This window comes from Homo sapiens, chromosome 9 (genome assembly GCF_000001405.40).
Source record: "Homo sapiens chromosome 9, GRCh38.p14 Primary Assembly".
Taxonomy (NCBI): Eukaryota; Metazoa; Chordata; class Mammalia; order Primates; family Hominidae; genus Homo; species Homo sapiens.
In genome coordinates, this window is record NC_000009.12 from 123,642,734 (window position 1) to 123,665,893 (window position 23,160).

The following is a 23,160-nucleotide window of genomic DNA, read 5'->3' on the forward strand; positions in this document are numbered from 1 at the left end:
AGAGGCCTTGGCTCTGCTCCAGGATTTCAAAGCTCCTTCAACTGCCACTCTCATCTCTGCTTCAAGGGCGGCAGATAAGCAAACAGGATTAGTGTTTTCTAGTCCAGAAGAGCTAGGAAAGCTTTGCACACATCATTCAGGTGCTCAGCTCATCACACAGGCTGGCGTCAACATGACAAGGTGGCGTTCGTCAGGAAAGTAGCAAAAACGAAGCCAAATCTGAAAAGCTGCCCAGTCCACAAACTGGCCCTTTCTTAGGGCTCAAGACCAGATGGTACTCAGACAATGGATGCTGTCGGTGGGAGTGGTGGAACAGGACTGGGGCAAGGCTGGAAAAGTCTCCATGTTCCACTCGAATACTGAAACATCTCCTAAGGACCAGACTGTGTGCTGGTGGGGAGATGGAAGTATCACCCACCACTCCTCAGGCCACAGGGTACCCGGTCCTGCCCAGCTCCCACATGCCTGGGGACTAATTTTTGTTGACGCAGTTAGGAAGAAACTGACAGAGAGAGGGTGCCAGTTTATTTTTTTTGTCTTCCTTCAATGAGATACCATCAGAAAAGTAATAATGGTTTTCGGTTATGGGTGTAGAGGCTAATTAGGTCGTGGTCTTGCCACCATACAATATTTCCTTCTGAAAAGCATCCGCTGGGTAAAACAAATAGATGTTTCTCAGGAAAGTAAATATGCCTTTGTCATTATTTAACTGGATATTCTTAGTTGTCCAAATTTCTTTCAGTATCCCTAAATTATAAAGGGGGTGATTAGGACCAAGATACACTGCTCGAAGGAACTGCAACATATGAACCCTGGAAGGTTCTTTATTCTTTATTATATAGGACAAAGATACATAGCTGCAATATATGAACCCTGAAACCACAGTGAGTTACAGAAGATACGCCCCAGGGCTCCACCAAGGCCGCACTCATGGTAGGAATAGGGTGCAGGAGCTGCTGGGAGACAGCCAAGTCTAAGAAGGCATGGGCAGACGGAATGGAATCTGAAGTGTTTAAGGAAATGGAGCTGTGGCTAACAGACTGGGTGTGTCAATGGGAATTCACAGATCTGCCTCCTGTTTCCTGGTGCCTAGAGTAGTGTCAGGCGCACAGACAGGGCTTGCCGAATCTGAAGTAAAAAGCTTAGGTGTGCGTTCAAAGGTGACGACGACCAGGCAGAGGTTCTTTATATTATTTTAGATCCATGGCCAACAGGGTCATGCTAAGAATATTTCTCTAAGTACAAGTGTCACAGGGAATTCATGACAATGAAGAGTTACCAAGAAGGAAGTATGAGGCAGCAAGGATGCTGGCCTGGTTTTAATTCCATCTCTGCTGCTCATCTTAGACAAGGCACATCAACTTTCGGGGGTGCTAACATTCCCATCTGCAAAGGGAGAAGAAAACCCACAAGCTCCTAGGGTTGCTGCAAGAACGAATGAAAAAAATGATCACATACATGATTAGCATAGTGCCTGTCATATAGGAAATGGATGGCTCAAAAGGTTAACTTAAAAGAACTTTAAAAGGGTGGGGGAGAACGGCGGGGCTCCCATATAAAGTACTGAGGACGAATCTACTTAAGGATATTCTTACACATTTATTCTGTGAATGCTCTTTAGTGGTCTTGGAGCTTTACAAGCTACAAAAAAAAAAAAAAAAAAAAAAAACCTCTAAGTACTATACAATCAGGTCTTATTTTTCACCCAAACCAACAGCACCTAGCTCCACTAGTTACCTTATCCACCAGATTTGGCTCAGGGTATCTTTTTGGCTCTTTACAAGAATTTTCAAATTCCTTTAGTGGGGTGGCTATTCCTAACAACATGCCTCTGGCTCCTGTGACAGTTCCCGCACAAGGGACTGGAAAATGGTGTTAAGTAATGGCACCCAATAGACATAACCTGGTTCCCAGGCATGCACTTCGAAGGGGCTACGATTAGTTTGTGTGTAATCCCTTGATGTTTCTCCCTTTCCAGAAGCCAAAGCCTCCTTCCCCTGACACTGCATCATAACGACCTATATTCATGGCCACCTCTCCTATTGACTAGGACATGACCTTGGGCAAGTTATTCCGCCTTTCCAAATGGACTGGCTGTTCTGTAAAATGGGAATAATATCTATCTTCTAGGAATGCTGATGGAATTGTATTATCTCTATTAAGATCTTTGACCTACTTGCTCTCCATAGAGTTCCAAAAAGCAGTATGAATTAAGCTCAGATATGAAAATATGGAAGAAAAATGGGGCCTTTGTGCTACAGGGAATCACACTGAAGTATTTACATTAGAGAACAAGATTTAGTTAAGCCTTCCCTATTTATCATTTATAAAGGAAAACAATCAATATACATTAACTGAGCAAAGAGAACAAAAACTTACATTTTTCTTATACAGAATATCACAATGTTATTGACCGAGAAACCCCGAAATGCATATTACCTGCCTCTGAACTAAATATTGTTGAGTTTGTCTCTATTGACACAGCCATTTTTATAGAAGACAGCACTCGAGTGCTAGACAGCTTTTATCTTTCATGTGCTTGGTGGCTCTGAGGAGCATTAAGCCTCCATCTTATCAAACACAATTGAGAAGAATGTGGTTTGTCAAGTATTGCAGGCCACATCAGGATCTGTCAAGAGAGGTTCCTCAAAAAATCTCAGGCTGAGATGGCCTTTGCATATCCCCCTCCGCACCAGCCCCCATCTAAAAGATAATAAAAAGCCACTCTTAAGGAAATAAAAGGCAACAATTGGGAAACTTTCAAATTCTGAATTTGAAGAGGTCCAAAGGTGTGAATACAACAGAAGTCTGCTCAGCTACGTCATCCCCAAACTCCGCAGAACCTCTCAGGATGCTGCCAACTGCACGTGACATACAAGGAGAACCCCACCTCCTCCAGAGAAGCTTCTACCAGCAATCCATGAAACTTCGAACCCAGTTAAGAATCAACTCTTTGTTAAGAAAAGCCTTTTAAAAGTCATAGTAATACATATTCATAGATTTCAAAACAAAACAAAAAGTAGTCAAGGCTTATCATGAAAAGGAACAGTCCACTTCACCATTCTTCTTACACCCTTCACTCGAAGTAATCACATTCAACACAGGATTTATCTCCTTATTTCTAAATCACGAATTCTTGGTTTCACATTTTCCACATTAAGACTTGGATTCTGCCTTCCCTTTGCAAATGAACTGTTATCCTCTCAGAGGCCAGTCACCCCGCTTATCCGGTTGTCTTCATTCCACAAATATTTATCGTGGTGTTACCACAGGCACTGGGGGCACAGCAGTGAAGGAAACGGGCAACAATCCCTGTCTTCATGACGTTTACATTCCAGTAGGGTAGGCCCTTAATAAACTGGACAATAAAATTTGATTTCCCATTATAGAATTTATTAATTTATTATAAACGTCTGCAAAAGCTACGTACCAGGCTGTGTTCTGAGAGCTATGCAAGTATTAACTCATTTTAATTTTACTTCAAAGGAGGTCACTGGTGACTGGAAAAAGACACTAAAACAAGTCCACCTGTTTTAGTGGACAGGTGGGGACTGAATCCTAATGGAAGACTGAGGAGAGAATGAGACCAGAGGAATTAGTAAATAGGTAACTCTCTTGAGGAATTCTGTTCTGAAAGGGAGACTAGAAATGGGATAAAGGGGATACGGGTCAAGAAAGTTTTGTTTTGAAGTCTGGGAGCTTCTATAGCATGTTGGCATGCTCATAAGAATGTGCCAGGAGAGAAGAGAAAATAATAATAGATGCAGGAGAGAAGAGCTTGCTTACTGCTGGAGTAATTTCCTTGAAGGAAACCACAGTGTCGCCTTTCCTGTTGGCATTCTGAGGCCATCTACCTAAAACTGCAATCCCTGCCACTCTCCACTCCCCATCCGCTCTCTTCGGCTTTATTTTACTCCTTAGTACTTTCCATTTCCTACCGTACGAGATATTTAACTCCTCTGACTTATCGAGGACCTATGATACTAGAATGCAAGCTTCATGAGGACAGGGATTGTTGCCTGTTTTGTTCACTGCCGTAATCCCCAGTGCCTATGGCAATGTCACGATAAATATTGCAGAATGAAGTAAGTTGGACAAGCAGAGTGACTGGCCTCAGAGAGGACAGACGGTTCATCCACAAAGGGAATGCAGAGTCCAGGAGTACAGGCCCAGGAAGCTGAGCAAAGTGGTGTGGGATCTTGGCACTCTCTCCTGAGGGCTTCCATTAGATGGGTATAGAATTCTAGGTTAGAAATCATTTTCCCTTAGAAGGTCAAGACACTGCTTCACTGTCTTCTGGTTTCCAGAACTGCCACTGCCAAATCTCAGGCAATGTTGATTCTTAATCTTTGTACAAGAACTGCTTTGTCTCTATCCCTGATACTCTAAAATCTCATGATAAAGGAGCTTTGTACCTTCTTTTTAGGCCTCTAAAAAATTTTGAATTATATTAAGTATGTATGTCATATAAACAACTTTCAAAGAAAAAAAAAATGTAAGAACCCCAAACCTACCACCTTGGCTCAGGGGCCAGCAAACCACAGTGAAAAGGCTAAGCCTGGCCTGCTGCCTGTATTTGGCAATAAAGCTTTGTTGGCACACAATCATACACTTAGTTTACCTCTGTTCGATTACAAGGTTGGAGCCCAGCAGTGGCAACAAGGACCATATGACCTGCAAAGGCGTATTTATTATTTGACCCTTTATAGCAAAATGTGTTAGTTCCTCACCTGGCTTAAGACAGAAAGCAAAACTTTTGATGTCCCTTGTATGACTCTTCCCAAACCAGTCTTTTCTCTCCCTGTGAGGAAACCATTACCTAAATTTTGTGTTAATTATTTCTTTTTACCTTTGTAGTTTGTGTGAATCCCTAAACAAGATACCATTTAGTTTTTCTAGCTTGAACTTTATATTAATGAAATCATACTGAACAGTATATCCTTGTGCAACCCAGTTCCTCACTCAGCTTCTACATTAGAGACATAATCATATTGATAGTGCAGTTCATTTTCATTGATCCGATCGATATTCTACTGTGTGACTACACCACGGCCTATCAGTTCTCTGTTGGTAGTCATGAGAACTATTTCCAGGATTTAAATAAAACCTAAAAAAAGCCACTGTGAACATTTTTATACATATATCCTACCATACATGACCAAGGGGTGTGTGTATACCCACAAAATTCCACCTAGGAGTAGAATTGCTGAGTGATGGGCATACGTAAATAGTTTTGTAGCACATACCCTTCAAATAGTAGTAAATGACATTCTCTAATACATTTCCAATATAACACCTGGCTTTGTCAGCCACGAAATTTTTTGTAAACCTAGTGTTTCACTGCTGGTTTTGTTTGTTTTTTCAGAGACAAGGTCTCACTCTGTTGTCCACGCTGGAGTGAAGTGGTATGATCATACCTTACTGCAAAGCCATGATCCTGGGCTCAAGTGATCTTCCCGCCTCAGCATCCCTAGTAGCTAGGAGTACAGGCGCGTTCTACCACGCTCATTTTTAATTTTCTTTGTAGAGACAGGGCTCTCACTGTGTTGCCCAGGCTGTTCTTGAACTCCTGGCCTTAAGCAATCCTCCCACTTTGGCCTCCCAAAATGTTGGGATTATAGGTGTAAGTCATTGTGCCCAGCCATAATCACTGTAGTTTTAATGTGCTTTTTGATTATTACTAATGTGGTTGAGTATCTTTCCATACAGATGTTGGCCATTTGTATTTCTTCTGTGAAATGCTAATTCATGCCTTTTGCCAATTTTTCCATTGACAGGCTTGTCTTCTTTTTAATTGTCATAGTTCTGTACTTATTTCCGATACTAATTTTCTGTCAGTTTTTTTATATGGCAAATCTCAGCTTGTGACTTTTCAGTCAGAGAAAAGTATCTTTTAATGAATAAAAGTTCACGATTTTAATATTTTCTTTTATACAATGTATATTTTGGACCACCTTTAAATAAGCCTTTCTCTACTCCAAAGATCATCAAGTATTATTCTATTTTGTCTTCTAAATGTTTTTAAATTTTGCCTTTCACATTTAAGTTCTTGATCCATTTGGAATTTATTTTTGTGTGTGTACAATAGAAACGGTCTTCCTTTTTTTTCCTATGTGGACAGCCAATTATTGATTCCCCAGAGATGCTACAATGCCACCTTTTATAAAATAAAGAGCCCATATACATGTGATCTGTTTTTGGGCTCTCTATTCTGTTCCATCAGCCCATATGTGTATCCTCATCCCATTACTAGCATCGTAATTACTACAGCTTTATAGAAAGTTTTGATATCTGGTAAAGCAAGCTTCCGCAACCCATTCTTTTTTGTCAAGTATGTTGTGGCTCTTTCTCTGGCTTTTCCATATTAATTTTAGAATTAGCTCGTCAGGTACTATGTAAAACCCTATGGGGGTTTTGAATATAATTGTATACAATCTATACATCATTTTGAAATGAAATAACATCTTCAAGATATCAGGTCTTCTTATTCATAAACATGGTAGTGCTTTCCATCCCTCTATTGAGGACCATAAAAGTTTTCCCATTTAATATGTCAATATGTAAGTTATATTAATAGATTTTCTAGTATCATCAATCATTTGCTTCCTAATTGAGGATTTTTACCCCTACATTAATGAGTGACACTGGCTGCTAATTTTTCTTTCTTGTGCAGTCTTTGTGTTGAATGTCAAGGTTATACAAGTGTCGCAGGAAAAGTTGGGTTTCATTTCCTCTTGTTCTAGACTCTTAAGGAGTTTGTCTAAGACTGAAATAATCTTTTCCTTGAGATGTTTGATAAAACACACTTGTAAAACCCCCTGGGATGAGTGTTTTATCTGGAAAAATATGTAAAGATATTGATTCAATTTCTGTAAGTTAAATAACCTATTTAATTTTTATATTTCTTCGGGAGTCAACTTTGCTAAGCTATTTTCTTCTATTTTGCCTTAGTTTTCAAATGCTGGCATAAAGTTGCTAACAGTATTTTCTTACTATTTTAAAAATTCCTGCTGCATCTGTTTTTTGTGTTTGTAGATTTATTCCTTTATTTCATTTTAGTTTTGGGAGGAAGCAGAAATAATTTTGTGTGTTTAATCCACCACATTTATGAGAGCAAAATCACACAGAAGGTTCATTCTTCCTTATCTATAAGATGGAAGTAATTACAGAACCCACTAAGGCTGTCGTAGTAAGGATTAAATGAGTTCATACATGAAAAGTGCTTAGGACAGTGCATGGCACACAGTAAGGGATCAAAAACATCATGATTAAATGATAAGGAATTCATTTCCACTGAGACGATGTCATGTTTTTGTTGACTGAAATTTAATAATCTAAAGCAACAGTAACTGGTTATGGACTAGACTCTTTCAAAGAGGTGATGATAGATGTGGTTGACAATATTCTCATTCTGAAACTCAGTCTGGGTGTTTGTGCCCTGAAATTATGAACTGCACGTATGGTGTAAAATAAAATGTAAAACAAAGCAAGAGGTCTACTATAGGCTATTCTTAACACATACTAGGCAATTAAAAAAAACTGAGTTCTTGATGAGCAATCAATAACCAAAGAAATAATAAAATAATGAAGGTATAATAAAAACTGTAAGGAAAACTCTAGTAGTCTCAGAGAGTTTTCATTATTAGGTGCCTTTTATTCATAAGTAAACACATAACTTGATTTTATCCATAGGCCCTTCATTAGGGAACTCTCCACTTATAAAAATATTTTTCTACTCTCTCTAACAGAGGGATGCCTATTAGGCATTCTACTCCCAGTCAATTTCTGTATATAAGTTTTGTCTACAAACAAAAACAACAACAAACTCAGCAAACAGATATTGAATTATTTAGGGGAAAGTAAAGTGACGCCTGTGATTTACTTTGAAATGCATAAAAAATAAGATGGATCACCTGTAATCCCAGCACTTTGGGAGGCTGAGGTGGGTGGATCACTTGAGGTCAAGAGTTCGAGACCAGCCTGGTCAACATGGCAAAACCCCATCTCTACTAAAAATACAAAAATTAGCTGGGTGAGGTGGTATGTGCCTGTAACCCCAACTACTTGGGTGACTGAAGCAAGAGAATTACTTGTACCTGGGAGGTGGAGGTTGCAGTGAGCCGAGATAGTGCCACTGAACTCCAGCCTGGGTGACAGAGTAAGACTCTGTCTCAAAAAAAAAAAAAAAAAAAAAAAAAGATGGATTAATGGATGCTATGGATGATAAATAGTTGAATAAATACATGATAAAGCAACTGATACAATGTCACTAGTAGAATTTAGATGGAAGTATATCAGCATTCACTGTAAAATTATTTCAGCTTTCTATAATGGCTTAAGAATTTTCATAAAAAATATTGGGGAAAATGTGAACTCATACTTAGCAAGTGAAAAACTAAAATAAAAGGAATATAAAAATATTTATATTATACACACAGCAAAAGTTATATAGAAAGTTCATTATAATTAATAAAAAAATCAAGACACCTATAAAATAAATGTGAAAGGATATTAACAAAATACAAATAAAAAAATAAACCCATGGAAAATATTCAGTTACCTCTAACCAAAGAGGTAATTCTAAAATTAAAGCAAGCCTGAAATACCATAGCACATCTACTTTCTTAGCAGAATTAAAACACCTGAGCACATGCACGTACACACGTGCGCACATGCGCGCACACACACACTCTCTCTCTTTCCTGGCAAAGCTGCGGTGAAAATGGTGCACTCATCTACAGCTGGCAGCCTTCACTGTAAACAAGCACCGCCTGTTTGCAAAGCAATTTGGCAGTCCCTAAGTCATAGCGCTTATCAAGCCCTTTGACCTAGTGTCCCACTCCTTAGAATATAACTGTAACAGTCAAAAGAAGCCAAAAGATGTTCATTGCAGTATTATCTACTAAAAGGATTAAATCATAATGAACAACCTAAATGGCCATCAAGAGAAGGATTTAGTAAATAATGACACACCCGTATCATGAAATATGGTGTAGACATTAAAAAATGACAATTGAAGCTCATGTAGAAACCTGCAAAATGTTCATAACACACAATCAAATGGAAAGCTATTTATAATTGACTGTGCGACTACAGGAATAAATGAAATGTGCATTGGCACTGTAAAAAAAAAAAAATGAACAATTAATGAAAATGACATGCTGCCATATAAGGGGACTGTAGCTGACTCCTTTTTCTAAAATTTTCTTTCATCTTGCTGGTGTATCTTTCAATTAAAATTAGATCATTAAAAAGCCAGTCTTAAGACTGTCTACTCACAGTGCTGAGTTTGCTGCAAATGATGAGTATCCGGCGTTCGTACAGCATACTGGCGTACAGATGCAACATGTTGTTAACATCCACAGCCACAAAATATTCTGTCAGATTTCTCTAGGAGAAAGAAGAAGGCACGGTTTGTGGCTGATTTTCTTTGTTCTTATTATAACTGTATCTAATAAGAGCATAAGAAACATAAAATAATCAGAAAGTATACTCTGTTCTTTCCCTGTCCTTTTCTTTCTACCTGGGAGGCCAAATCCCCACATGTGTAAAATCATGAAGGGTAAAGTTGGAAGACACCTTACAGAGGAAGGAGCCTGAGCAATTACATCTTTGTGTGGTGATTACAACATGAGGTCGCATCCAGCACTTAGGTCAGTTCCTAAAGGTGAGCAGAACAGGAATTCTACATATCTTACAAATGAGGAAACCAAGACTCAAAGAGATTCTCCAAGATGGAACAGTCTAATAAGCAATGAAGACAGGACTGCTGCTCAAATCTTTGGGCCCCAGATCCTAGAACCTTCCCGATGTGCTGTGCCATACGCCTAAGCAAAAGAAAGTACCCAGGGACCAAAATGCTTCTGGCACTGAGCCTGTTTCTGTGCAGGAGATGCCACCCACGAAGGCCAGGCGAGCTCCTCTCCCGTCATCACTGCTGGTATCCCCTCCTTCACAGTTTACATTTGCTAAAACGGCTCAGCTGGAATTAAGGCAATTTCGAACATTTACAATTTCCAGGTATTTCACTCAAAAGGGGAAAAAAAATTGAAGACAAACAGCAGCAAGTTGTGACAAAGCAGTGTTTTAACTAGCTTTTTTCCACCCCTGTAGCCTGGGCTTCAGTCTTTTAATTAGTACTATAGATTGGTACTCTTCAGATTTCAGAAAAAAAATGGAATGTGTTTCATTTATACAACGCTTTCTATACCCACCTGACTTTAATAATACACATGAATATGCTAATTTCTTCAATGTTACAGGTTTTCAATGCCATACAATATAATCCTCTGAAAATGAAAGGGGTTTGGGAGGGAAGGAATGCTATTGCCAGGCGTTGCAGTTTATAATGATTAAAGATCTATAACCCATAAATTGAAGTAAACCAGGTGGATTTTACATGCAAAATAGCACAAAGTGCTTTTCAACAATATTATGGGCTGGGAGTAAAAATGGGCACTTATCTTATAATTTATTATTGTTTGACTGAAGTACCAAGTTAACCATCAACCTTTATAAATACAGAGCAAGTGAATTAACAGCTCTATATACTAACTACCTATCAAGTGCCAGCCACTGTACCAGACACTGTGGATGTGTAATTGTGCAGTCTTCACAAAAATCCAGTGAGGCGTTATTCTTTCCAATATAAAGTCTGGGAGAGGTCAGCAACTGGCAAAGTCAGATCTGACTCCATGGCCTATACGCTTTCCCGTACACAACACTGTCCCTCTTATGCACATCTATTGTTTGAAAGATTCACATCTATTATTAAACATGTCACTTAATCTTCAAACTGTTCCTTGAACTAAGTATTATTATCCCTCTACGAAGATGAGAAAACAGTGGCACAGAGAAGTTGTGTAATTTGACAAAGGTCACGCAGTAAGTGGATGTGACATGATTCAGTCCTGAGTGGGTCTGTCTCTAAATCCATGCTCTTTTTATTCCACACAAAATTGTAGGTAAAACTCATATTTGGAAAAAGAAACGCAACAAGATCAAGTATGCCTAAAGAAAGGAAAATGCTTCTGTTAAAAATTACCGTTACCCCATTCACGGAGTGATCTGTATGTGGCAGGCAACAGGTGCTTTTCCTGTGTTCTTTCCAATCTTCCCAACAAGCTTGAGACAGGCATTATCATCTCCATTATATAGATGAGAAATAAAAAAAAAAAAACTGGAGGCTCAGGAAGTCTCAGTAGACTTCTAAAGGTCACCCAGCTAGAAAGGGGAGAGCCATGTTTCAAAACTAGATCTCCTCAATCCAAAACTCATACCCTAACCACCACACCAACTTGCCTCTTAACAAACTCAGTGAAAAACAAAACAGCAAACACCAAAGGCAGTCGGAAGGAGTCAACCAGTGTATCTTGGTTCCTCCACTGGACGGAGGAACACAGAGCTAATGATGTAAGGGTGGGGTTTGCTCTGAAGACGGTGACATGGCACAGCTCTCCTCACAAACAAAAATATGAGGCCCTTCACTGAGCATTTCAGTAAAAAGCTTAACTGCTGATGAATTACATGAATTTTTCTTTTAGGAGAGGATGGAAGTAAAAAGAAAATAGAAATGAGGAGCTTAAAGAAGGCCAGAAAGCCCATTAGCACTTTTGACAGATCCAAAGATAACTCTGAAGCCACCAAAACGTGGCCTCAAGAGTCTGCCAAGAAGCTTCACGCTGGGGAGAAATATGTTACACAGCTTGCCGTCCAAATAGGGAGACACAGCGTCAGAGACAAATCCTGCGCCTTATTTTGGTGGGAGAAAAAAAAATCACAAGGATACTTTTGTGGATGGGAAGGAAACATTTCTGAAATAAAAACACCATTTGATTGAGGCATGTCCCCCATCTCCAATCAGATTCTGAGGGACTCAGGTGCTTGTTCCAAAAACTCTACACAGGTATGTTAAAAATACGTAACATTTAGCCAAATTCTCTCTAAACTGTCATGTACTTTTTTTGGTATTTCTCATCCCATCTGTGCTGATTACCAAGATATTTGTGTCTAAACAGAAGCTGTCTTTCTTATCTGCTTCCTCCCCTGCCTCTTTCCTTCTGGGATGCCACCCGCCTGAGCGGGTGGGAGTGGGTGGGAGTGCCAACAGCCCTGGGAACCTCGCTCAGCCGTGGGAGCACCTGTGGGGCAGAGCGGGGCCCCAGGAGCAGCTGCAGGGAGCACTCGCAGTTCCCATCAAGCCTCAGTTCAGAAGCACGCCCCATGGAGTCAGGAATCTCCCTCCCCCAGCCACACCAATCCTTACTCTCTCAGGCCTGCCATGTCCTGAGAGACAATTGAGTGAAATACCTGGAAATTGTAATTACTCCTGCTGTGTCCTCTGCCTCGAATGCCCCACTCTTCCTTGAGGACACCCGCTTACTTTTCAAGGCCCAGCTCCAATGTCACCTCCTCCCGGGAGACTTCCTCAATTCATTTGTCAAGTTCTCCTGTATGCTTCCATTGTCCCCATCTTACAGTAACTCAGTTTTAAGTATGTTTTTGCCACGAGACGGGGTCCTGTTAGGTGAAGCTGCTTCTCCCATCATCCAGCAGTTTGATGACAGCAAGCTCGGTGCACGGAGGAAGCAATGGCTGAGGGTGCTGGTCCCTCACTCAGGCGAGAACAGTGCAGTGAGGAATGCACCAGCCCAGAAGATGGACCAGGTGGGACATTAGGAAGAACGTAGCATGTGACTCCAGAAAACCTGGCTCTGAGCCAGATGAAGCAATTGATTACTCAGTAATGGTGAAGAACCCGCAGAAAAAGAACTGCCACTGGAAGCTACACAAAGACCGGTAAGTAACTGGGAATGGCGGAGGGAGGGAGGGGTGACTTTTCATGGTAGCTGTGGCTACATGTATTAAAAATGTAAATAAATTAGTGGTTTATCAGGTAACTGGGGTGAGGGCTGTACACAGAAGCATGTGTTCATTTCACAGCCAGGCCAAGCATATTTCTCCGATGGGTAAGATCAGAGGATAGAAGGGAGGACTTCCGCGGCAGGCTGTCCTCAGTCAAGACTACAGCCAGAACACGTTATGAGCTTCTGCTGATAAAAGACACAAGATAAGCCACTCTCCCAGCACTTTGCTTCTCCTGCAGACTAAATCCTCATCCTCTCATTTCTATCTCCTATAATCAGGCAATCAACACACACTTATTTAACTCCTACTATGTGCCTAGCACCCTCCTGGGAGCTAGGCCTGCAGAGATAAACTAACTGTGATCTCCATCTTCCTGCTTACTCTGGGGTGGGAGGGACATTAGACTCAGAAATCCAGTATGCAACATACCGTGGTTGAGGCTACACTCCAGGCATGGCTGAGAAGCCTCACTCCCCTTGACGGATATGCAGGGGAAGGCTGGAGAAAGTGTGACAGAGAAGACATTTGGTCTGGGCCTCCAAACAGGGGTTCACTCAGTGGACCAGGGAAGAAGCATATTCCAGGCAGAGGCAAAGACAGGGTGGGGAGAGGAGCGCACACGCAGGGAAGAGAGTGAGAGGCAGGGCGGGGAGGGAGAGCAGGGGGCAGGGGAGCTAGGGACAGGGCAGTGCTGAAGGATCCTGACATGACCCTATTTGTGTTTCAGAAAAATCTTCCTAGAGACTCTGTGGAGGACAGATAAGAGGGCAAACAGGAGGCAGGACAGTCAACTAACAGGCTGCTGCCATATTCTGGGAAAGAAATGATTAAAATATACATTAGAAAACCAATTCAGACAAAAGCTTTGGGTGTAGATGTCAGGGATATCCATAAAGTAGAATCACAGGACTTGACGATGAATTAGACTTGGGGAGGGAAGGAGAAAAAAATCTCAAGTGACCCCTGGACTTCTAGATTACTATGCACCATACTAGTCTACTTGCCCAAATAGGTTTTTAAAGGGAGAGTCCATTCTTTTAATAAAGGATAAATCCTCCTTCTAAAGCACCATAATTTCTGTCAAACATGGTGTCCCTGGCCACCTCTTCCTAGGCTTAGTGTCCTGGGCTGTAATGCCACCATGGCTGAGCCTAAGTAACCACTTTCTTCATTCTCTGCCAATTACTTCTCTGTGTGACTCACCTACTTGGAAAGGAAAACCTTGCTTCAAGGACTAGTTCCCAGTTTCTGTGCTCAAAAGGTCTCGGTTTTCTTAGTGCCAGTAAGTTTTTAGGCTTGAGGATATTCCTTTCCTACTCATGGAGTTTAAACATTATTTCAGTTACACATACATTTATGTCCCCATGAGCATGTGCCTCTCCACCTAGCATCTCTTCTGGCCACACTCTCTAGGGCTGGGTAGCACAGCTACAAAGCTATCCCCCACCCAGGCTGGAAAGGGCTCAAATCTGAGGAAGGTCTCTGGACAGAGCAGCCTGCAAGGTGCACTTCAGAAGAAGCCTGCAACGCACAAGCTCCTTAGACTCTTGGCTCCCACTTCTCATCTCTGCAAAGAAACGTTGGTAAGCGTCAGGTCAAGTGCGAACCCCCTGTGGCTCTAAATCCAGACAAAGAGAAAGGGAATGGCACCTGGCAAAACCCCCATCCTCCCAGGAGAAGCCTTATAATGGCTGCTCCCTTCTAGCTGTCCCTGCTGGCTCCTGCACCAATCCAGGTGGCTGGGGACTTGAGGCTCACTGTGATCCATGCCTGAGGTTACGAAGCAGGTGGGGGTGGTGGCGATGGGGGGAGTTGGAGTGGGGTGGGGATGGGAGGGGATATAGTGGGGCTTAGAGAGAAAGCGTCTTAGGTTCAATACCTTAGGGAAATGAGATAATCCTCAAACCAAAGAACTGACTCTAAGCTGGGTACTCCTTGGAGCCTTCGAAACAGATGCTAGTCCGCCCCACTGTCTGTCATTTTATTAGTCTTTGTGACTTTCCACTTCATACATGGTACACATGATAAAGACCTACTGTCTTGTGTCTGAAGGCAGCTTCCAAGGCAAGAGGCTTGGTTTTGTCAGTGGGTCTTGTTTACTGAAATAACTCCTATTCAAATTATTTTACCATAATAAAAATTTTTAAAACCCTCAACTGATTTTTTTTTTTTAAGAATTTAGGTAACCTTAGTTGGGAGGGATTCTTTAAAGGGAATTATAAATTTGGATTATAAAACAATCTGCTTAAGAAAGAATCCCAGAAATTCACATAAGCAATCAAATCAGAGAAGAGTATTCTAGAAAGGAAAGCAGAGTTTACTCAGAGGTCAACTTTCATCCCTCCATGTGAATAGAAAAACCATTAGAATAAACAATTACCTGACAACTCTTAAGAGCAACAATGGAATTCTCTATAATCGCAGTTCTTGATAATAGGTCTTCTACTACCACTTCAACTTTGTTTATGTTTGAAAGTCATGATGAGTTCATAAATCTTTTCTATATCATGGCGCATCTTTTGACAAAGTGGAGTCTGGGCAATGTTATATGTAACTGTCCATTCTAACTGCTTTCCTCGCATCATTAACCACTTGGTATGACACCAACGAGATAATTAAGACAGGTTTGTTTAATATTCCAAATGAAGGTCTATATGATTATCCATTAATCAAAAGTAAACTTCAAAACCTGGACACTAAAAAAAAATCCTTTATATAGCTGGTTTACAATGTAATTATTACTACATAACTGTTCATGATCTGTGACTTTTTTTTAAATGCAGGTCAACTGTTTAAAATTTATAAAGATTTATGCTCATTTAATTATTGCCTGCATAAAATTCACTCCTACATGTGTTATCTTGATAGACAGAGAAAACCCTGATGAGCAATTACAGAGTGATAGTTTTTCAGTGAAAAGAAAGAAAATATTTTTACAAAGAAATTGTAGAAATAATGAGAATTAACTTCAATGGGGATCTGAAAGGGAAAAGAATTAATTTTTTAAGTTTGCTTTTCATTAATGTCTTGCAGACAAATTGGCCCAAAAGCCAACTGAAAGGAATTGTTCTTTTTTCTTCTCCTGGGGGTGGCTACATGTTCATTCATTCATTCAGTCATTCGTTCAGTCAATAAATACATATTGGGCATCTATTCTGTTCTGGGTACAGTGCTACTGTGAAAAAAAATACTGATCCCTGTCCTTAGAGAAGGAGAGAGGACATTTTACCAAACGTTCATTCAATTAATTATATAACTTACACATATGATGAGCAATTTCTTAGATGGGCAGAGAGAGCCACGGAGCCAGGGCCCAGACCAGGCAGCATCTCAATGCTCAGATCATACCCACTGAAGGGTGAATCCTGGTTTTAGCACTTCCTGGTTTGGCAAGTTACCTCACTTCTCTGGGCTTCATTTCCTCTCCAGAACAGAGATAACAACCATACTATAAGGCTGTTGTGAAGATTTCATAACATAACAAACAGTGCCCGATCTGATCCACAGTGGATGCTCAATAAATACCAGCTCCTTCCTCTCTTTTTGCACACTAACACTTCTCTGAAGCTGTCCAGGAGAACAGGATTATCTGGTGATAGAACATTATTAAGTTCCACATCCCAAAGCCTATTTATCCTTTTTGTTGCTTATGTTCCTTAGAGGAGATAATCAATAAATATTTACAAACCATCTATATTACAGGCAGCGGAGCCCTGGGCTCCATCTGCCACACCAGTTCCAAGCTTCAGACATTCTGGTGTGAAAAGGGCCTGCTAAGACACTTTCAAGGCCCCATGAAATATATGCCCCATAAAAGGAAGAGAATTAATCTCCATAACCATGAATATGAAAAAAATCTAGAAAAGATGTGCTCCAAGAATAATGTTCTTCAGCCCTCAGCCACAACTCAGATCTCAAGGGAGGTTAAGACTAGAATTCTGGGAGAGCCAAGAAAAGGAGAAAAAGAAACAGACCATTGAAAGCAGCATCTCCATCAAACCAGACATTGTCCTTGGAACGCTACATTTAATACTTCATGAGTTTCTCACATTTTCCTTTTGTAGATAAGGACCTAGAGGCTCCAAGAGTATAAGTACATTGCCCCAAAGTCCCAGGGTAGCAAAGCCCAGAGTCTGGTTGTCTCTAAAATTCATGTTCTTTCCACTACACCAGATCATAAAGGATTAACAACCCCACAGTTACTGCTTGTTTCAATTTGCAATGCAGCAATTTAGTAATTTTAAATTAATCCTTGAAAAATCATCAAGAGATTAATATGCAAATTTCAACACTGCTAGAGCTCAACAGTGATTCTGTGTCAAAAACCACATAAATTGGTCCTACAAAAGTTCAGATTCTCCTTAGAGGAAAGGCTTTCCTGCTTCATTTTGTAATTTGCTATATATTTAAAAAAACATTTCTTTTCTTTTTTTCCTCATGAATAGAACACATCAATTCCAGGGAGGCAGTGGGGTACAACAGGAACAAAAGCTTACAAACCTGGGTCGCTACACTGTGCTTACGAGCAGACCTTGCCACCTCAGCTCTGTGAGCTCTGGGCTCCCTGTCTAAAACGGGGCTCAGGTCTACCCCTTTCGGAGTAGCTCTAAGGATTAAAGTGGAAGCATGTACGGTAGGAGTCTGGCAGATTGGTATCACCATTCTGCTTAGAAACAAACAACGCTAGCCTTTTACTGGTTTGCAAAGGAGGATTTAGGGACAATGGGTCATGCACAGGGAATTGGTTCATTAGTAGCAAAACCAGCAGAAGGAATGTAAATTTTTAAAATAGTGGGGGCAGGAGAGGTAGCATACAGTGCAGACAGGCTTTGGAGGTAAGGCTATGAGAAGACTTAAAAAAAAAAACTTCCTAATCTCAATTGTGGTTTTGAAAAATTAGAAATGATCAGAATTTCCAAGTACCTTAAAATGAAGTTCTTAAGAAATTATTTATTCTTAAAAGAAAAAAAAAATTTTTTAATGAACCTAACCTAGGCAATCATTTTTATCATAACATTATTTATAGAAAATGTAAATGTCTATTAGTAGGAAAAGCACAGTTAAAACAGTTAAATACAGTGAATTAAACATACATTTATCTTTTCTCTCTCCTGATACCAGCCTCCCAGAAAAAGTCAAAGTAAAAGAATTTTAAAAGGCACAAACGCCAAAAAACAGGAGAAGAATTAGTAATGGAACAAAGAGATCAAATTTTTGAAAGCCAAAAAGCAGATGTGACTAACGAAGTGGTTTTCAAGCTGGGGCCATTAGTCCCCCAGGGGATATTTGGCAATGCCTGGGGACATTTTTGGTTGTCACAGCTGGAGGGGAATGTGCTACCATCATATAGTGAGTAGAGCCCAGAGATGCTTGCTAAATATCCTACGATGTATAAAACAGCCCCATTCAACAAAGAATGATCTGGCCCAAGCTGACAAGCATGCGACTGAGGTTGAGAAGGAAAGCTTAAAGCTACGGATAAGGTGGGCAGGCACAGCACCGAGCATTCAGCCCAACTCATAGCACAAAAAGAATTCCAAAAAGGAACTGGAGACACCCAGAATCTCTGAAGGCTAGGAGACGGGGTGCAAATAAAAATAGGAGTAATTCAATCCCAAGGATCTCCTCTCCCAGCTCAATGAGCTAGTTAACAGACTTTCCCACACCTCTCCAGAGGAATATGTGTTTACTTTCTAGAAGAACTGAACCAGAAAGGCCTGGTGACACCAGGTACAGTTGAGGACGGGCAATAAAGCCTTTGACAGGCAATAAAGGCTTACACTGAAAATGAGTACTAAACGAAGGTATACATATTAGATGCTGACATGTCATAACCTACCATTCCTACTCAGCTTCCAGAACACTGATAATAAAGCATACACTACCTAGGCAAAGAAAACAGACCAACTCCAAAGAAAAAGATTCTGATACTGATATTTGAGAGGCCACTGCCCCCAAAATAGCCACACTAGTTCCAAGCTCCAGAAATGACTGACAGAGCATTCAGCCAGCTTTTTAGTGCCTCACTCTTAAATGTGACGGGGCAGCCATTTGAGGAAAGGCTCTACAGTGAAAGTTAAGGAATAAAACAAACAGAAGATAGGAATGTTGAGCAGGAAAATAATACGAGGAGAAGAACACTTTTTAAAATCTATAAATAACAGTCTCACAGATGAGTGAAAATATTAATATAATGGCAGAAGTAAATTTCCAAAGATGGAAAGATTTGCTGAAGAAAGTAGAGAGAAAACGAAAAGAGAGAGATGGAAAATAGGAGAGAAAAAACAAGAAAATTAGAGGATCAGCACAGGATATTTTAACATTCTATCATAGAGGCCCCAGAGAAAGAAAGAAAAATGAAGAATATTTTTTCAAAGAAATAATGTAAGAAAAGTTCTCAGCTCTAAAGGACATGAGTTTCCATATTAAATGGAACCACCAAGTGCCCAGCACAATAGATGAAAACAGGCCCGTAGCAAGGCGCATCACTGCAATTTCAGGATACCAGGAGGGACCACCAAAGGATGGTTACAATAAGTAAATCACAGGAATCGGAATGGCTGAGACTTCTTAGTTGCAACAGCAAAGCTAGAAGTCAGTGGAGAAACATCTTCAAAGTTGGGAAGATAGAGTAATTTCCAACCTAGAGTTCTATACCCAGTCAAACTATCAAAAGAAGAATAAAGAGGCTGGACTCACACTTGTAATTCCAGCACTTTGGGAGGCCAAGGCAGGTGGATCAATTGAGGTCAGGAGTTCAAGACCAGCCTGGCCAACATGGTGAAACCCCATCTGTACTAAAATGTACAAAAATTAGCCAGGTGTGGTGGTGTGTACCTGTAGCCACAACTATTTGGGAGGCTGAGACAGGACAATCGCTTGAGCCCAGGAGGTGGAGTTTGCAGTGAGCCGAGATTGTGCCACTGCACTCCAGCCTGAATGACAGAGCGAGACTGTCTCAAAAAAAGAAGAAGAGAGTTATTTTTAGTCATGCTAGGTCTAAAAATGTTGCCTCTAACAAGCACTTTCTCAAGAAAACTACTGGCGCATGTCTCACCAAAATGAGGGAGTGAAATCAAGAATGAGGAAGATGTGAAACCCAAGAATGCTTACGTGACAAAAAGTTGTATAAGAAAGGAAAGGTAATCTACTAACTACTTCAGTATGCTCATTAAAATGTAAACATTAACTTCTGATTTAATGTAAAAATTTTCTAAAGGTATAGAAAGAATGGGAGAGGGGAAATATGTGACTGAGAGAACGTTATTCTGTGTGTTTCGGGGTGGGGAGTGTTATAGGTGGTAAAAGACCAAAACTCTCATCTTCTATAGGAAAATCAATAAGTGATATCTGTAACAGAAAAAAAATAAGATTTAGCAATATGAATAAGTTACTCAAAAATACAGAGGGAAACACAGCTGCTAAAAACTTGAAAGTAGCTGGGCAACTTGAAAATTGCTGGTTTTCATCAACAACTATGTAGTACTACATGTTTTTAAGCCATTAATATGCATTACTTTCATAAGAGTAAAAATACCACTAAATAAGTATGTCATTAAAAAGGAAGAAGTAGGTAGATATGAACACTTTTTAGAATACATTAAACTAAAAAATGAGTTGCTAAACAAGTATGAATAGAATCATATTTATGTTTAAAAACCATCTACAACACACACAGGCCACATCCCTAAGGTACTTGTTTAGTGTCCTCATTGTCATTAATTTCTAAATAATAACTAATTTCAATTTGTATCATCTTTGATCCAACTGCTATTTCAAATAGATGAATATTTTTAAACCTTTAATTAATTTATTATTATAGTTTTCGTTCACCGCCATAAAAGAGTGACCTGTGAGAGTTTAGTATGCTCTATTTTGAAATTTTTGGTGTGATTTAGTACATGATCAATTCTTATAAATGTCCCATGGCATTTTAAAATAATCCTTCAGTAGCCTCCTTCATAGCTACACATAACACTAAATTCCTAGAGAAAGGTTTCATCAAACACTGGAGGGAGAGTGGGATTGGGGTTGGAGGGAGAGTGGGATTGGGGTTGGAGGGGGTGGTGGTAATGGGGGCCTTTCATTTTTTTCTCTATGTATCAGTATTAATCTTTTACAACAAAATATTTGTAAAGAATTTTTAATGACACAGGTAAATGTTCAGCGTACATTGTTACAAGAAAAACAGATATAAAGTGTGTACATTTTGTGTGCTTTTAAAAATGTAAGTTTTGAAACTTAACAACAAAAAAAAAAAACCAAAAGAATACTTCTGTCTCAAACAAAGTATTACTCAACCCCCAGTGTAAGCAGTGGAAACTAACCTGCTCTGAATAAAATAGGAGCAGGGATCTAGTGCTCTGATCAGTTAGCCATCTACCTCTGTGAGGCCTTCCAGGGCTGCCAAAGCAACACTGGGGTTCCCGGTTGCACACTTTGAAAACTACATGTCATAAAAAGGAAGGATGAAAAAACTCAGAAACAGATCTCTGAGATGGGAGATTATGCCTGATTTTTCTTTTGCTGTTGTGTGATACACATACATACATACCTTTCCTATGATTTGGTACTGTTTAAGTAATAATTATCTGTTCCTGAAACACCTTAACCACCTAAACCTGATAGATTTTTTTGAAGGATGGAGATTGAAATAGAGCTTTATTAATCTTTTCAAGTTATAATTCTATATTCATATTGCCTATTTCTCAGGCCAACTATCATTTGTCTTTTTCTAGAAAATTTTCTCTTTTCACAATCTTTAAATTTATTGAATAAGTTTAAAATTTTATTCTTTTCACAAATTCAGTTTTTAAAAACTACTATTTTTCAATTTTACTTTAACAATATTCCCTAATAAATTAAATTATAATTTCTTTTTCTAGTTTTGGTTATTTATTACTATTCTTTTTTTTTAGCTTCTTGAAAGTCAAGTTCATTGTTTTCTAAATTTTTTATTTATATAAAAGCATTCAAAGCTATGAATTTTCCCCAGAGTGTGGTTTTGGCCACATCCCTAAGGCACTTGTTTAGTGTCCTCATTGTCATTAATTTCTAAATAATAACTAATTTCAATTTGTATCATCTTTGATCCAACTGCTATTTCAAATAGATGAATATTTTTAAACCTTTAATTAATTTATTATTATAGTTTTCGTTCACCACCATAAAAGACAGTGACCTGTAAGAGTTTAGTATGCTCTATTTTGAAATTTTTGGTGTGATTTAGTACATGATCAGTTCTTATAAATGTCCCATGGCATTTTAAAATAATCCTTCAGTAGCCTCCTTCATAGCCAGAGTATGCCTCTGCTTCTGCTCTTCCTGCATTACTTTCCCACTTCTTTTTGGATTTCTCCACTGTCTATACTGAATTGACTGCAACTATCAGTAATCATCTCCTTTATATTATGTAAATTCCCAAACTTTCTGGCTCATGGTAGCTTCCTCTGTCATTAGGGAAATATTTTTCTCCTTTCGTTCATCATTTCAATGGAATTTTCTGAGAGATGAAAGGTAAAAAATCACAGGCTCAAAGTATAGCATGTTATGTAAGAGCTCAGTCTCAAGAATCCAGAAAGACCAATATTTGAATTCTGATTTTACCATTTATTTCCTGTAGGATATTGAATATGTGACTTAAATTTTCAGGGCTTCTGTTTCCTTATATTAAATAATTATGGTAGTTACCATGTAAGCTTGTTGAGAGAGCTAAATGAGAAAATGGAGAAAAGCACCAAATATATAATATTTCGAGTAGTAGTACTCAATCAACATTAGCTATTGTTGTTGAAATGGGAACTCTGGTCTGAATTTTTTATTAGTTAATGTCAAAAAAAAGGATGCAACATTTTCTACCACAGTCTGATCATACAGATAATATACTACATGGATATGCTTGATAATCCCAACTTATCAAGACTGTTATCTAATCACAATACTACAGCCTAACTTCATTCATTACATTTGATCACCTGACATTTGTAACCTGTTCTATAGACGACACTTGGAAAAATTTCCTTTCTGTGAATCTACAATAGTTATGAAAAGGTATACCACATATTCCAGTACTTTTCTTATCAAGTATTCAAGTATATCCCCAAAAGAATTGAAAGCAGAGACTCAAACAGGCATTTGTACGCCAATGTTCAAAGCAGTAATATTGATAATAGCCAAAGGGTAAAAACAATATCTATTGATCTCAGCATCTATCACTGGATGAACAGATACGCAAAATGTGGTCTACACCTACAATGGAATATCATTCAGCCTCAAAAAGGCAGGCAATTGTGA

General features: G+C 39.4%; 1 protein-coding gene across 41 annotated transcripts in view, besides 1 other annotated feature; it reads right to left on the minus strand.

The window, feature by feature from the left end:
* The window catches only part of DENND1A (DENN domain containing 1A), a 550,469-nt gene that overhangs the window by 263,076 nt on the left and 264,233 nt on the right, over positions 1-23,160 (minus strand). For all 41 annotated transcript variants that reach the window (XR_007061334.1, XR_007061335.1, NR_148208.2 and 38 more), the window contains one exon: positions 9,280-9,390. Coding sequence is in view for 38 of the 41 variants with exons in the window: in NM_001352965.2 (NP_001339894.1) it covers positions 9,280-9,390 (111 nt within the window). In the remaining 3 variants the exon portion in view is untranslated. The remainder of the gene's footprint in view (positions 1-9,279; positions 9,391-23,160) is intronic.
* Positions 12,135-12,635: an enhancer, noted in NCBI's record as "H3K4me1 hESC enhancer chr9:126417147-126417647 (GRCh37/hg19 assembly coordinates)". NCBI's record gives its function as "activates a minimal SCP1, AML or CMV promoter by ChIP-STARR-seq in naive H9 embryonic stem cells {active_cell/tissue: H9 hESC(naive)}" and the evidence as "EXISTENCE:reporter gene assay evidence [ECO:0000049][PMID:30033119]".